At 43.5% G+C, this 17,295-nt stretch overlaps 1 protein-coding gene across 21 annotated transcripts in view; it reads right to left on the bottom strand.

Annotated features, from left to right (window-relative positions):
• The window catches only part of AUTS2 (activator of transcription and developmental regulator AUTS2), a 1,195,032-nt gene that overhangs the window by 967,354 nt on the left and 210,383 nt on the right, over nt 1-17,295 (bottom strand). The window contains exons 1-2 of one of the 21 annotated variants that reach the window (XM_047420167.1): nt 1,466-1,551; nt 278-373 (exon numbers count right to left, since the gene is read on the bottom strand). The exons of 17 other annotated variants lie outside the window; for them this stretch is intronic. The gene's annotated coding sequence lies outside the window, so the exon portion shown is untranslated. Of the gene's footprint in view, nt 1-277; nt 1,552-17,295 lie in introns of those variants that run through there. 3 more of the 21 variants (XM_047420166.1, XM_047420168.1, XM_011516018.3) reach the window with 3 other exon arrangements.

Genomic DNA, 17,295 nt, shown 5'->3' with positions numbered 1-17,295 from the left:
AACTCCCAGGCCATTCTCCCCTGTGTTCATAGAATTCTCCCTGCATGAATAACTATAGCTGCAGGACCTGATTCAATATGGGCTACCTAAAAAGGAAAAGAAAGAAAGAAGAGTTTTTAAAAGGCCCTAATTCTCTTGACTGAAAAAGGTGTCTGTGTTTAAGAGCAAAACAGGGCAATAGAGAACCTGTTTCCAGTTGGAGTGCAGAACCACAACACTCATAAGGACTAGATGCTTAAAGAGGAAATAAATGGCACTACGTTAATTGCTTCTTTACCTGACAATTTATGTTGCACACAGCAAGCCTCTGCTGATCTTAACCAAGGATCAGTTTTATGCCTCAAGCATTCCGAAGCTGGGCGTCTTCCTCCTCCTGGAACAATAAAAGTGTATGCTTGTGGACCTGCTCCCTTACGGACCACTGAAGGAGAAAGGCTCAGGGATTAAGTAAAAAGGCTAGTACATCTGGGCTCCATTCCATTATTTAGTCATCCAAAAGAAGTGAAGTGGAGGATAGTGAGCATCTAGTATATGCCAGGCACTAGACTGGCTGCAGAGGATTCAGAGATACAAAAGACACACTTGTTACCCTCCAAACCGCTACCCAAATACAACCGCATGGCTCCATTGTCAAAATCAGCACTGCAATGGAAGACAACAAGGTTACTGCTGAGAAAAAGCAGAACTGTTCTCATGCCACTGGTTCTTCCATTAAGACAGTGCTTTCGGAGGAGAGCCTCTCAGCCCAGTTATACCCTAGAATCACCTAGGGAGTTTTTTAAAAACATCAATGCCTGGGCCCCATCCCAGAGCAACTATGTATCTGGAACTGGCCCAGGCACTAAAATTTCTTAAAAGCTCTGCCAGTGATTCTAATGTGACCCCAGGGTTGAGAACCATTGTTTTAAGTCCTTCTGCCCCAGGAAGCTTTCTCTCATACTGACAGATGGCAGTAATGCATAACAGAAGAGGTCTAAAATTGTTAAAGGACATGTGGCCTCATTCATATGGATTGCAAAAATTAATATTAAAAAGATAACTATGTAAACGCTAAAGAAAGCTCTACTTACTGGCTAAATAAAGAAATTTCTTTCTAAAATGGCCCAGGAAATATGTTAGCAAAAATGTTTCTTGATTTTAAGTTACTATCCACACAAAATCACCAGTAAACAGGAGCCACCGAAGTATAGTGAAGTATTTTCTGCATAAGGTTCAATCCCACCAACCCTTTGTCTTTTAACTTGTCATTAAAAGTCTTATTGCGCAATCTCCGAAATAGATACAGCTTTTGATTGCCAGCCAAAGCAGATCAGGAAATGCAGATTAAGTAGACAGCTGCAAAGCTCAATTTCACCAGTAACTACCCCAAACCACATATAAACTCAAGCCAGAAGGAGAAGTATGGCCAATGAAAGTGCCAAATGCCCAGGTCTTTTATCTGATTGCTCTGTTTCCATGGCCTTACCAAAATGAAGGGAAAGGTGACAATGTCCACAGAAAGGAAACGCAGACACTCCAGTGGCTTGTATGGCAAGGAGGGTTCTCAGAACTGAGGGGTTGTGAAGCTGATGAAAATGATAGTGAAGCCCAACCAAGATCGGCGATTAAAAAAAAAAATCGAGGGCTGGTTTCGGTTCCTATATAAATTATACTTCTGCCACAACAATGGACCACAAGATATCAGTTCTCAGAAATAATAACAATGATTTATGACATTAAGTATCACACTTATTTTTTTTTTTTTGAGACAGAATCTCGCGCTGTCACCCAGGCTGGAGTGCGGTGGCGCGATCTCGGCTCACTGCAAGCTCCGCCTCCCAGGTTCACGCCATTCTCCTGCCTCAGCCTCCTGAGTAGCTGGGACAACAGGTGCCACCATGCCCGACTAATTTTTTGTATTTTTAGTAGAGATGGGGTTTCACCGTGTTAGCCAGGATGGTCTCGAACTCCTGACTTTGTGATACGCCCACCTCGGCCTCCCACAGTGCTGGGATTACAGACGTGAGCCACCGTGCCCAGCCGTATCACACTTATTAATAGCTATAATTTGAGTACTTACATCCAGTGACTAAGCTAATCATTCAATCTCACAATATCTCACAAAATCCTCACAATATCTCAGTGAGGTTGGTATTATTACTAACCCTATTTTATAGATGAAAAAACTGAGGCAAAGAGAAGTTCAGGTCTTGGTCAAAATCATACCTCTAGAGTTTCAAGTCCGGCTGTCTCTTCGGAATACAGAATTCTCAATTTCTCTCAAAGTATCTAACAAAATCACCTCAAAACTCATCAAATCCATTTCACTGTCAATGTTCATATGAAACGTTTACATTTTCCCTGGGTAACTGAGTTCCTCTTGCTGGTTTTTTGTTTTTTTTTCCACCTAGCAATCATGATTTTTTCCTGTATTCAGTAAGTGCTTCCTTTTATGTGCACAGAAAAATCAATGTCATGATAATGGTGGTGTAAAGCTGAAGTGATCCCCAGTATAAGTGAAACCTGTTGATTAGCAGGCCCGGCACAACTATAGTACTTTGATGTTAGTCGCCCCTAATTAAAAGAGCACTCAACAGTTAAGTACACAAACGAGTAAGCTGAAAAGACCTGTGTTAACAGCAGGGGTGATCTACCAATGTGTCCAATGCTGATGGACTGTAGCTGCTGTGGGACACATGTTTAGGCATCTTTTCATCACTGCTGCTCAACATACAGTTCAACAAGCAGGCTCCTTTCAAGGGCTCCTTACCTAAACAAATCCCCCTTGCTTCTACAAGAGTCTATGCTGAGTGGAGTTCAGATTTAACGAGGCATGCAACCTTATGCCATTCCTAGCCAACTACTGTCCTGCACAATCTAATTGCCAGGTGTAATAACCAACACTGTAGCTGCAGCTTCCACTCAGGAGAAGGCAGCAAGGCAGATACAGCAGCACATCACGCCTAAGTTATGAGACGGGACAAAGACAAGGGAGAGAGAGGTTGCTGAAAGGAAACTCAAGTGTAAGGATAGAATGATGACTTCGTTTTTTTTACAGTTCTGCCTTCCTCCCACCATTGCTAAGTACCAATATGCTTGCTAGGAAGTGGAGACAAAAATGCAAATAAGTAGCTTAGACCAAACAACTCAAAGTCCCCAGTTTCTCTGGACACTTTCTCTCACCTTCTCCCTAGTTTTCCATTTTAGATTTATTTTTGTCACTTGCAAAACATGGGGACCTCGGCAGTAAGTGGGCTGAAGTAATAAATAGGACCTTCAAAAGCTCCAGGTTTATTTCTAAAATTGCAACCTTCCTCACAACAGGAGTAGCAGCCATATGTATGATCTCATGGGATCAGGACTCAAGAGACTCCCACTAGGCAGATATTGGATTGGACTCCACTCTCAACTCTGGTTAACAAAGAAAACAGCACAGACTTTGTTTTGTTCTTCCATCATCTTGGGTGGGGCAAGATTCTATCTGTCCTGTGCTAAAACTCTTAAACTCTTTGAGATACAGTTTCATCAAACAAACTTCCATATCTTATGCTGCTTTTTCCTTTCTCTTAACACCTCCCAGCAGTCAACACTTCTGCCAAGATCAACAACTGTCCAATTATAAACAAAATGTATCATTCTATTCGCCAAAGTCTAGAATCTAGAGCAAAAAGGGTACAGGCTTTGCAGGCAGGCAGGCTTGAATCAAATCTTTTGCTTTTGGAGATGAGATCTTGCTGTGTTGCCCAACTGGTCCCAATTCCTGGGCTCAAACAGTCCTCCCACCTTGACCTACCAGGTAGCTGTGAGCCACTACAGGTGTGAGCCATAACACCCAGCATGAGTCAAATCTTGAATATGTCTCCAAGCTACATATCCTTTGGACCTTCTATAAAAATCAATCTCTGTGTTGCTAAAATTGTGATGGTTAAGCTCTACCAATGACAGGCATAAGTGGCTGGTCCACAGTGAATTGTAAATATTTCTTCCCTCTCACCCTTAACTAATATGACTCTATTGTTGCTTACATCACCATTTTTCTAGAACTCTGCTAGTTCAAGCCCTTCTCATCTGCCTCACAGTATTAAAACTAGACTAGCCTTCTAACCCATCTACTTCCCTCCAGTCACTGATTTTTTAATTAGATTCATGATTACAACTCTAATCTTGTTACTTCCCTGCTCAATAACCTTCAGTGGCTCCCCTCTGCCTTTAAAGGAAAACAAAAACTTACTAGACTTTTTTTTTTTTTTTTTTTTTGGAGACCCTGTCTCACTCTATCGCCCAGGCTGGAGTGCAGTGGTGCAATCACAGCTCACTGCAGCCTCAACCTCCTGAGCTCAATCGATCCTCTCACCTCAGCCTCTGGAGTAGCTTGGACTGTGTCCAGAGTTGGTTCCTTCTGGTGGGTTCTTGGTCTCACTGACTTCAAGAATGAAGCCTTGGACGTCAAGGTGAATGTTACAGCTCTTAAAGGTGGCACGTCTGGAGTTGTTTGTTTTTCCCGGTGGGTTCATGGTTTCCCTGACTTCAGCAATGAAGCTGCAGACCCTCGCGGTGAGTGTTGCAGCTCTTAAAGGTGGTGCAGACCCTAAGAGTGAGCAGCAGCAAGATTTATTGTAAAGAGAGAAAGAACAAAGCTTCCACAGTATGGAAGGGGATCAGTGCTGCATTGCTACCGCTGGCTGGGGTAGCCAGCTTTTATTCCCTTATTTGTCCCTGCCCACGTCCTGCTCATTGGTCCATTTTACAGAGCACTGACTGGTCCATTTTACAGAGTGCCGATTGGTGCATTTACAATCCTTTAGCTAGACACAGAGTGCTGATTGGTGCATTTACAATCCTCTTGCTTGACAGAAAAGTTCTCCAAGTCCCCACTCGACCCAGGACGTCCAGCTGGCTTCACCTCTCAGGACTACAGGTGCATGAAAAACTTACTGGACTTAAATGTGTATTTCTTCATATCTCTACTCCTCTGGATCCACCCCCATCCCCAAGTTAGATTCCAGTTCCCTCTCTCCAGTATACACACAGCACTTTATACATACTGGGCACTGAATCTATGTTGAGCAGCTTATCACTTTTTACAGTTACCCCTAATTTTCATGAGTGCCTCTCTCACTTTTAAAGTAGTAGCCTTAGGCAAATAAAATCTTCCTCTTGAGAATCTCACGTTATAAAGCCTTTCCAGGTGCAGAGCCCTGGCCCCAATTAATTGCACCATTGCCAGAGGTAATAAAAGAGATGAACTCACAGGAATCCAACTTGTGAGGAATATATTTTCTTCTTCATAAACCTGCCTAAGTTCTATAGTTGATTTTACATTAATTTTTCTTGTCCGGAGTGTGTGTGTGTTTTCACTACACTTAACTAAGCTCTTGAAGGAACAGAACCCTCCCTATCACATCTGAGCTCATTCATGCTACTCTACCTCTTTCTCTCCTATTCAGTCCTCAAAACCTGGCTCAATAACTTCTCTCCCCAGCAAACACTGCCTTGATGATCCCTGCTCTTCCAGTCTTTGACCCCTTTCCCACATGATTGACAGTCCAGCTTAGCATCCTGCTATAAAGCACCTTATTCTCTCCTTCGCTGTGCCCTATAGGAAGCCCTTAATTCTATGTGCCTTGTTTACTCATTTATTCCCCCTGGAACTGATGAACCTAAAGCAGGAGTTGTCAAACTTTAGCATAAATCTGAATCACCTGCAGAGTTTGTAAAACACCATCCATGGTTTCCAATTCTGTTAGTCTGGGCGATGCCCCAAAATCTGCAATTCTAACAAATCCCCAGAGAATTAGGGTGCTCCTTGTCTGGGGACCAACTTAGAGAACCACTGACCTAAACTTCTCCTTCCCCAACTAGGTGGAAAGCATCTCTGGAGTCTGGAACTCATAATTATTTTGTATTTCACAAAGCTGGGCAGAGAGTAAGTGTTGGGGGATTCGTGGCCTTTTAGTCCAGTTCCCACATGCCAGTGTGATGGAGCTTCCCTTTACCTACAGCACAGTCCACTGTAGGTACTGCCACTGTGGGAGCCGCTCTTTATCAGTCCTGCATGTATATGACTCCCAGGCAGTACCATCTGATTGAAGAAGGGCAGAGGGAAGCACATCTCATAAACTCCATGAAATGCAGCAGCAATTAACCTCATAGGACAAGAAACTAAGTCTTAGGTAGAACAGTCTCCTTTGATAAATATAGGTCCTATACACCTCAAGACTGGCTCATACTTTAGTTATAATGAAGCTAGTTGAGTTATAATAAAGCTTACTGGGGGCTGGGCCCAGTGGCTCAGGCCTGTATTCCTAATGATTTGGAAGGCACAGAGAATCACTTGAGCCCACTTAGGCAACATAGTGGGACCCTGTCTCTGCAAAAATACACTAAAATTAGCCAGGCTCAGTGGCATGTGCCTATGGTCCCAGCTATTTGGGAAGCTGACACAGGAAGATCACTTGAGCTCAGCACGTCAAGGCGGAAGTGAGCCATGTTCGCACCACAGCAAAAAAGCAAACAATTTTTACTTTTTAAAAAACTCCCTTAAGATTCCCGTTTTGGCACATTCTCCCATATGCCTCTGATCCACTGTGCACAACATGAACAGGCAGCCAATAGTTTACACAGGCAGCTCAGCATACACCTGTCATCAGTTCACAGGAATCCAACTGTTTCCTTCAAGAGTAATTAAGCAACACCATCAGGAGGACAATAGAGGTTGACAAAGTGCCTAAAACTTCCCCAAGAAATGTTTAGAGGACTGCTGAAGATAGAAGACAACTGTGCTTTTGCAGCACTTAGTCATACCTTCGTATTAAAGTCAATGAAACTGAATTTGACCATTTCTCTGGCTCATTTCCTCAGGCCTGTTTTGGAAATGGGAAGAAAGGGTGAGGAAGTGGCAAAAATCCAAATCCCAAGAAAGCTTCCTCGACTTGAATCAAAAATTCCATTTCTACTGGAAAAGGAAAACCCATCGACACTGCTTGAGTTTATTTGATGTGTTGCACAATTCCCTTCCGTTCAAAAGTCATTTCCATCACAAGCCACTTAATCAAGTACAAAAGATACCCTTACTGGGTCCCACTGTACCATTTCCACAAAACTCAGGCACACCCAAGCTCTCTGCTCCTGTCCTTGGTGAGATCTGCCCCTCTTGGCAGATTGGTTGTTCCAAAGAAAACAAAGGTGAGGGGCACTTTTTCCCTACTCAGCAAAAATTCAGAATCTACTTACTAAACACAATCAAATTTTACAAGGCACTGAAGTGGTAACCCCCAAACAGAGAGCCCATGAGGCGATAAATATCTTATAAACACAAAGGTCACAGACCCAGGTGTTTATGAGCATAGAAGATGTTTATGGCTATCCACTCGGCTAGAAATTTGCTTTCAACCTTACTCTCTCTTCTTTATCGCCAGCCACATTATTATTATTCTCCAATTATTTTTGGAAAACACAAAGCAAAGAGGACTATAAAAGAGCTTTATGAGACTGCTGAGCCAAATCAGCATGCCAGAAACAAATCAATGCTTCGGAGAGTTCTGAATACAATTATAGACAAACAATAGTCCAATGTATCTGGTAATCTCCCTCCAAACCATTATTGCATAGATTAAAAGATTACAGATATTCCTCTTTGCTCCTCAATATTAATAGTGATATAAAGCACATTTAATAAACCCGAACTGCCACAGTCCTAAAGTTGGATTATGGGTCTGGTTCTTCATAAACTGACATGTACATGCAGACTCCAGTTTAATAATATACAATCTCGGGTCAATCAAAATCTACCCTCACCAGCTCTCTATTTATTATCATTTTTGCCACAACCTGCACCCAATCAGATGCTGTCCTACAACTCTCTTGGCTGGCAGCTGCACAAAAATCTGCACAGCATCAGCATAACAAGTGACAGGTCTCCCCATCAATTACAACTCTGAGGAAAAGACGGCTTCAGCGGGGACATAACCCCACAGTCACACACCACCTTAGTTTCTGACGGACCATCAGATCAGAAAGGAAGCTGTCATCAATGGAGAAAAGGAACCCAGCTCCTCATTAGCCAGGGTTTTCTTTTCTTCTCTTTTTTCAACATACATCAAGGAATAATCATGGGCCAACTCAACTCTGACAGCTCCTTATGTAAATGGCATTTAAATGCAGGCAAACAGCTCACAAACAAAGGGGCTGCAGCTAGGTTGCAGCTCACAGACCCACTCAGACCTAGCATCCATGCTGTGGGTCTCTCTAGGTTTTATCTCCCACCAAATCAGCAAAAAACATTACCATAAACACAAAGATATTATTAGGTAGCTTTGCAGAGGGTGGGGATAAGCTGTGTGCATCCTGTTGGGGTCCAGAGGCAGGTTCTCATGCAGGAGGGGACAGCACCTGCCTCCTGGACCACCCACATCCCCGGGCAGGGCTGTCCCGCCACCCAAGGCAGGCCATGGTTTAAATATCATAACTCCACCTCTGCCCAGCTCTCCACGCTTCTGCTACTCATAATCCAAATCCTCATTTCTTTCAGGTCCAACTCAAGGCCTACTTCCCCCACAAAGTCCCCTCCCTCAGCAACCCACTGGAAGCCACTCACATATGATATCCTGTGGTGCTCAGACAGAACACTGCACACCAGAACCTTGGAATCTATTTTGTCTTGAACAGTCCTCCAACTGTTAAATATAGGTCTTATAATCCCAAATGACCACTAAGGTTCCCTTAGCCAGACATACTCTCCTTCTCTTCCTCCTCAAAGAGGTTATACACAAAGTACCCATAAAACCCCTGCACATTAAATACTGCCTTCAGCAAGGAATGAGTAAGACAGGAATGTGACCAAATAGGGGTAGAGGCAACAAGGGTGAGCTGCTAGAGAGCCGAGTTCTTGGCAATCGAAAACACAGCTGTTCATCCTTCAAGCTTCCCCAGCATCCTGCTTATATCTTAGCAATCCCTTTACTATGCAATTGTCAGTCTTCTATTTTCATATTTGCATCAGAACAAGTGATCCTCAACAGCAGTGCTGTCACTGGTGTGGAGTCCCTGTACCACTGAGTGAGCCCATGATGAAGAAGAATGGCAAACATTTATGGAGTATTTGCTATGTCCAGAGCACTGTTTAAAGGACTCCACAACAGCCTTCCTAGATAGGTACTATTACTATCTTCATTTTGCTGATGAAAGAACTGAGGTTCCAAGAGGTAACAGAGGTCACAAAGCTAGTGAGCAGATACTGGGACCCAGCTGTCTGGCTTCAAAGCCCATGCCACCAAGAACTTGCTGAACGAATGAGTGAATGACATACTTTGAGCAGGTAAGTAGCTGCAGTATAAAGGAGCATGAAGAGCAGTAGATTTGGAATCAGATGTCCCAGCCTAGAATCTTGGCTCTGTCAATTACTGGATAGACTTTGGCTAACTCATAACCTCTCTGGCCCTCATATCTACAAAAAGAATGTGGATAATAAAACCCATCTTGTAATTTTGATGTAAAGAGCAAACATGAAGGAAAGCTCTTGGTAAACTGTAAAGTACTCTATAGTTATCAGTCAACTGGGTCAAAAGTCAGTCCTTTGTAAGGATCCAAGATATTAGTACCATGAAACTTCTGAGACTAGACAGGATGGAGCAAGAAAGCGCAGCAGACAGCAGCTGTGAATGCTGTGCACGGGGCCGAAGAGCTTACCTACGGTTTGGAGAAGCAACCTGTGTGAAGCCAACCTTCGTTTCCAGCCCTCAACCAACAAGATTCCGCATGTGTTTCAGCTCCGTCCTAGACAAAAATCTGATCTTAGCCAGAATAACTGAGTTTAACACATAAAAGAAAGTACTAACCCCAACTGATTCAATCTGCTAATATTCTTCCGTCTGGGGAGAACGGAATGTAAGTCGATATTTTAATTTCAAGGGGCTGGCTCCTTCCCTTTTAGAAATCATCAGGAAATAAAGCTTTGAGATGTCAGAAAGGTTTAGATCCAAGAAGCCTGTCTCCCACGGGGAAAGCTTGCCCCCATTGTTAACAGCTTTAATCAGAAACTCAGGCCCTGAATACACAAACCTAGGCATCATTTCTATTACACCTTCTACAGTACTTTGATTTCAGAGGCAAAAGGCTTGGCCTGTATTCCCTCTAGCAAACTGTGTAGCAGGTGACATGACCTTTCTTGGCTAGATTCATACTGACAGTCACCCAAGTCCAAACACAAATTACTGCTTCCAACAGGAAGTCATCTAATGATACAGGCCTCTTAGAGTAAACAGCGTGAAGTAGTCAAAGATGGCTCTGTTGTATCTCACCATTAACAGGTAGAACATATGCGCAGCTGAAATGTGTAGGTCATCATGTTAAGTTTCATTGAAGCATTTAAAAAAGTAGTCACACCTGTAATCCCAGCACTTTGGGAGGCCAAGGCAGGTGGATCACGAGGTCAAGGGTTCGAGACCAGCCTGGCCAACATGGTGAAACCCTGTCTCTACTAAAAATACAAAAATTAGCTGGGCATGGTGGCATGTGCCTGTAGTCTCAGCTACTTGGGAGGCTGAGGCAGGAGAATCACTTGAACCTGGGAGGCGGAGGTTGCAGTGAGCTGAGATCATGCCACTGCACTCCAGTCTGGCGACAGAGTGAGACTCCATCTCAAAAAAAAAGTAGTCATAAAGAGGCCTGGAGAAGATGCAAAACAACAGAGCATTTCCTCCAATGTACTATAAACTACCTGTTTTTTTCAAAGATCTATCATTCCAAAGGTAACTTTAAGATTGTTGTTTCCAATACCTCAATCCTTTCAACCTGACAACTTTTGAACTTATGAAACTCCCTCTTAAGGAGATATAGATATATAGATATATAGATATCTATATCTCCTTATTAAGTCCAAGGGAGAAAACCCCCAATTTCAATAAAAGAAGTGTTCGATTATGTGCAAGCTGCAAGGTAAAGGGAAATACACCCATTCCCTTTCAGAAAATATATCCATTTTCTAGCTATGGAGCAACGCACATCAGCTACACAGATAGGATATGAAAGTCTTTGATGCCTTATCACAGTTTGGGCTACTATTTTATTATTCTACAAGGCAGCAACTTAAAACCAAGTCAGAAGGCTAGCTGTAAATGTCTTCATGGCAAAGCCAGGGTAATTTACAACTGAGGCATCACTATTTTAAAAAATAAATTTTAACTGAAAAATAATTGGCTTCTCTCTCCATCCCTAAATGGGGACCTCGCTCAAGAAAAGAATGCCTATCATTCTTGAAAAAAGGAACTGCTGCCTTTCATTAAGATGCCACGAATGCTTTTCTGTTGGCCACAACACTGTCAAGGGCGGAGCATTCTTGGCAAACCCTGCAGCATAAAGAGGTCAGCCCTCCTCTGCAAGCACCCAGCCCCCAGACATCTCCAGCGTGCACGCTCCATTCGCCCATACCGCTGGGCACACGCTGTGCACACACAAAGTTCCTGCAGATTTTTCCAAGTGCCAATTCAGCCCCCAAGTGCACATTCACTGTGCAGGCTGAAAGCAGGGTTGCAGGTGACAAAGGGAACACAGCTCCTATTCTTTGGAGTCCTATTCAGTACACTGGGTTAGAGCGGCTCCAGACTGTGCAGGGCTCTCTGCTTCAGAGGCCCTCGCCCGGGTGGCCTGGCTGGGAGCTGGCCACTGGTACAGCGGGAGGAGCCCATACACACAATGGGTCCACGTCACACAGACACCCTGCCGGCCACAGACTTTTCTCTCCTGCCTGGCTCTACCATGTCCACAAAGTGCTTTTGTGAATACAGCTCCAATCTCTTGCTGACAATCTATATTTTGTCTCAGTCTCATTTTCTCACTCCAAACTGCCTGATCAGAAACCCAGGGGAACTAGTGGGGCAGAAGCATCACCATTTCCCATAAGGAACATAGGAAAACAAATGACGTGGTTCAGCTTTTCACAAAATGTGTATACTATTTACAAGGTAAGCCAGTGCAGCTTAAAATGTGTGGTGCCAAGAAAATGTTAAAGCAACAAAAAGTACAACTCCCTAAAACTGCAGAACCTTTAAACCAGAAATTTACAATGGGTTTTTCTTGGCAAGGAGAGCCTCAATGGAATAATGGTGAAATTGTACTTACTCTGAGGATGTAAACTGAAATACCACACTTGCTGGCAAGGCCCAAAGTTCCAATTGCCCTGGGCTCACTTGCCATTTTCATAAATGCAGTCCCTGTTGAACCACAAGCAAGACTGTGAACCACCCCTACCTCAGCTGCTGACTTCTTTTTCTGTTTACCAAAATCCCTGTGTGCCCACAGAGCTACCTTAGTTCACACCCAGAGTCTAAGTCTGATGATTAAAAGCAGGAAGACTTGGGTATTTATTAAGGCCTGCCATATGCCAAGCACAGGGCTAGGTGCTTTAAATATAATCACAACTACTTGCTGGTACTTGAGAATTACACACAAGATTCAAACCATTTTCAGACACTCCCCTTCTTCCATATAACATGATTTCACAAGCAGGAAGTAGGATTTGTGAGAAGTGGTATTTAGGAAGCCTCCCAGTATGTGTACAAGACTCATTGCCAAGCACTTTGCAGTCATTATCTGACTTACTCTTCACAACGATTCTGAGAGATAGACATAATCTCATTTAACTAGTAGAGAAACCTAGGCTTAGAAAGGTTAAATAATTTTCCCAACATCAGCCATCTATCCAATGGGGGGCAGGCAAACCCAGCAGTGCCCAACTGCTCCAACTCCAGAGCCACTGTCCTTCTAAACCACACTCTCTTTTTCCAAATGTGCTAGAATCTCTGGGCAATGCTTATTCACAATTCCAACAAAGACTTCCTAAGTGCTTGCTCCAGCAATAGAAATACAGGTGGACAGGACCTCCCCAACAAGGTGACACTCAGGGGCCTGAAGGAAGTGAGAGTATGAACCATGTGTTTATATCTGGGACCAAATGTTCCAGGCTAAGAGAACAATAATGCAAAGACTCTGAGTTGGGAAATGCTTGACCAGGTTCAAGAACAGCAAGCAAGCTGAAGGGTCAGAGAGGATTAATCTAAGGGGATAGTAGGAGATGGGGTGAGAGATAGCAGGCACTAGACCGTGCAGTGTCTTGTAGGCCATGGTAAGTAAGGTCTTTGAATTGCATTCTTAGTGAAATGGGAGGCACTCTGGAGGATTTTGAACTGAGGAGTGATATGATCTAAAGTACATTTTAAAAGGGCCACTCTGGTTGCTGAGTGAAGAACACTCTGCAGGGAGGCAAAGTAGGAGCAAAGAGGTCAGGTGGGAGGCTACTGAGGCAGTCCAGGTGAAACATGATGGCAACTCAGACCAGGGTAGTGGCAACAGAGGTGCTGAGAAATGGCTGGGTTCTGTTCAGTGTCATTCAGCCCTCAGTGCTTGTTAACTAATACTGACAAAAGTAGGCAATATTTCAAAGTCATTCCTACTCTTACCTCAAAAGAACCTAAATCTGGAGCCCTCAAGTTAAAAGAAAAAAAAACCAGATAGAGACTTAAATGACCAGCAATAAACAAAATACAGTTGAAAGTTGTAGCCCATGGCAACGGACGCACCAAGGGCATCCCTGAGCCAATGAAGACCCAGCATTCAGAATAATAGGACATGTTTAGGTAAAGTGTGGCAGAGCAATAAATTTCACAGCATCACCTTCTGGGTGACATTTTCTGCCCTCCAGGTTCTGCCACCATCTTTGGCACCTCTAGTGCCCAAATTTATCATGCAGTGTAATCTATATAGCATCAAGCCTGGTAGGAGCTGGGAAGAACCCTTGTATTTGTGCTGTATGGAAAATCTAACTCCCTACTCCCATCTTGCCAATAGCAAGAAGTGTTCTTAAACATAGTATCACTTGTTTTTTGCTGGTGTCTTTTTTTTCTCCTCCCAGAAATACCCTAATTATGATGCTGGAGAGTTGGGGAAAGATGGCTTTTATGTGGTTTTTATCTCCCAAACACAGTATTGTCATGGGTTTATTTATTTGTGTTTTTACAGTAACACGATGCTCTCCTGTAATTGAGACTATTATGGAGAGGGCTGGCATATGTTTTCCACAAGATTAAAGGCAATTTCTGTTTTCAAAACCACTATTGCTTCTTGGAAAACTCCCTTCCTATGCTAAACTAAATCCAGTAAGCCAAAATTCTACATTCACCTGGTCTGCATTACAGCCTTGCAAACAGAACTAGGAGAGGCAATTTCATTCATGCATTGATTCAAGCAGTATTTACCAAACCCCTACTGCACTAGGCACTGTGGGGGTGGGGAAATACAGCATAAAATAAAACATAGTCTTTGCCCTCCAGGGGCTCCGAATCCAGAGGGAAAACACACAGAAATGACTATGCTACAAGGCAGACTGTGATAAGAGCTATAATAGAAGCAAAACAACATGCATTGGGGGAACAGGGAATGAACGATGGCTCCCACCTGGTGAGGAGGGGTGGTTTGCGGAAAAGCTTGATGGAAACAGGATTTTCAAGTCCCATGGACCTGGGAAAGGTATCACTTATTGCAGGTACAGCAAAGTCTATACAGAAGAAAGGAAAAGCTAAGGTGTAATAAACTAAAAATCACGTGAAGGGCCTTGAGTCTGGAGGATAATTATTATGGACGGGAGGGGGAGCATGAAGGTAATGAATAGAAATAAGATCAGAAAGGGAGGCTTGGATCTAGTCCGTAGAGGCTCCTTCTTGACTGAAGATTTTGGATTCAGATATTCAGGGTACACTGGGGAACTATCTCAGGTGTCCAAGTAGGAAAAGACAAGACTGTCCTGTATCCATCACATGCCAGACCTTTGCTAGGTACCCACACATTCATCTTAAACCTCATAGTGATGCAATATGGTGACCACAGAGAGCCCTAGATCACAGAGAAGAAAACCTTTTGAGTGTTAGGTCAAGTTTTAATCTGTGCTAGATTTCAAACTATGCTTCCTGATTCCATGTGTCCACCAGCAGTACTCTTCCCATAAGGCCCTTCAGATTCCTCTTTTATGAAGGTAACCCAGTCAACGGCAGGTAGAGTGGTGCAGAGTAAAAACACTCTGGCCAGAGAACCCCCAGGAAAGGTGAGAACTTCTCAAATGAGAGACACACAAGGAATGAGGGCAAAGATTAGAGACACTGGCAGCATTCATGATCTTCTTTATCCTCCTGGCAACCTCCATTTCTAGGGGGCTGTGTGCTTCAGCATCTGTTATGTGTAAACAAAAATGTTGCTTTCAAAAAAATGTTGAATATGCTGTAAATGTAGAATTAGGGGTATAATATTGTCATTTTATTTCACGTTATGTTTTCTAGTCTTTAAAAAGCTCTCAAAAACAGTATCTGATGAACCAATTTTACATATGAACTAATAAAGGCGCAAAGCAGTGACTTACTCAACGTCAGAATGTCAGTTTCTTCCGAATCCTAGTCTACCATTTTTCCCTGCCCCAAAACGAATGACATTTTTAGTCATATTCAAACGGAAGGAAGATCACATGGAAACACACAATGGTTTTTACATCTATGCTCCTCCTATCAACTTTCTCTCTCTTTCCCTCAAAACCCTAGTTCTCTACCCACACCAATGCCATCCCCACTCCTATATCAAACTCTGAATGTCACACTGAGAAGTTCCAATGATCAAAAAAAAACTGAGGCTCCCGGAGACAAGGATCTTTTTTTTTTTTTAATTAAACAACTACTGTGTGCCAAGGGCTTTCCATACATCAATATAGCAATAGCAATATTTACTCAGTCTTAATTATGGGCTAGGCACTGTGCTAAACATTTTAAATATGATCACAGTTAATCCTTATGAGAATCCTGTGAGGCTGGTGGTTTATTTTTGTATACGAAGAATCTGAGGCTCAGAAACATCCAGTAATTTACCCAAGACTCTACAATTATTAAGTCATAGAGTTGGGTTTTGAATCAAAGCCTTATGAGCTCTGACGCCGGCACTCTTAGCCGCTGTTATGTGGCACATAAAGATGGGAAGGACAAGAGAGGTGGGCATGGTGGGAGGCACGAGGAGTGGAGAGTGCCTGGACGCTGGAACATGTGTGGAGAAGCTGTAAGAGGGAAGCAGAGTCACACGGTCAGGTTCTTAGGTCATGCTGGGAAGTGTGGGCTTTATCTGGATGCTGAACATCAACCAGAACATTTCAAGGTAAATGACCTGGTCAAATGTGTATATTTTAGGAAAAGTCACTCTGGTTTTGATGTAGAGAATTGATTTTATTGGGGCAGAGGCAAGCCTGAAGGCAGACAGAGGATCAGGAGGTTTCGTGTTATTCTAACAAATAGCTGATGAGGACAGTATATACCAGGGTGCTTCCGGGGTGTTCAATAAATATTTGTTAATTGTGGTATTGATTGGTTACAAGCAGAACAATCTGTTGTACCTATTGGGGCATGTCAGCTCCGTCACACAGTCATTCCAGTATGTGATCATGGACTCTGGGTACAATGCTCTCTTGTTCTGAGATGGCAGCCAGGATTGTGTTACTCTCTCTCTAGGGTTTTATCCCCTAAATGTGTGCTTCTGTTACTTGTGGAATTTCAGGTAAAATGTGAGCCCCCAGGTTCTGAGCATGGGTATTTGTCTTTTGATTGGGGTGGGAAGGGAATTGGGTAGGTGAGTGGTACAAACATTTGAAGAGAAGTATAGATTTCCATAACATGTTTCCTCCGTTCTTAAGCAACCAATTGCATTCCTTGTAGGCATGCATTCAGATGGCTAAGAGCTAATGTGAATGGGAAGGTAAGAAAATGATGTCTATGATCGGCCAGGCGTGGTGGCTCACGCCTGTAATCCCAGCACTTTGGGAGGCCAAGGCGGGCAGATCACGAGGTCAGGAGATGGAGACCATCCTGGCTAACACAGTGAAACCCCGTCTCTACCAAAAAAAAATACAAAAAATTAGCCAGGCGTGGTGGCGGGTGCCTGCAGTCCCAGCTACTGGGGAGGCTGAGGCAGGAGAATGGTGTGAACCTGGGAGGCGGAACTTGCAGTGAGCCGAGATCGCGCCACTGTACTCCAGCCTGGGCAACGGAGCGAGACTCCATCTCAGAAAAAAAAAAAGGAAATTATGTCTATGATGGGGAATGAGGCCTGATTCCCCACCAAAAGCCTCAGGAGGTTAGCTGAGGTACACTAAGATAAGATAGGTATGATGTCACACAGAGCCAGACGTCTGTCATTTAACATCAAAAGGGTGTGATGTCCAGGTTAGAAGGGCTCCAGAAGGCAAATGATTGTTCTTTGCAAACTCCTGGTTCTGTACCCCTCATGTCTCCTAACAAA

Source organism: Homo sapiens, chromosome 7, assembly GCF_000001405.40.
Source record: "Homo sapiens chromosome 7, GRCh38.p14 Primary Assembly".
NCBI classification, from domain to species: Eukaryota; Metazoa; Chordata; class Mammalia; order Primates; family Hominidae; genus Homo; species Homo sapiens.
The sequence above is the reverse complement of the archived record's forward strand: the minus strand, read 5'-3'. Positions and strand labels throughout refer to the sequence as shown.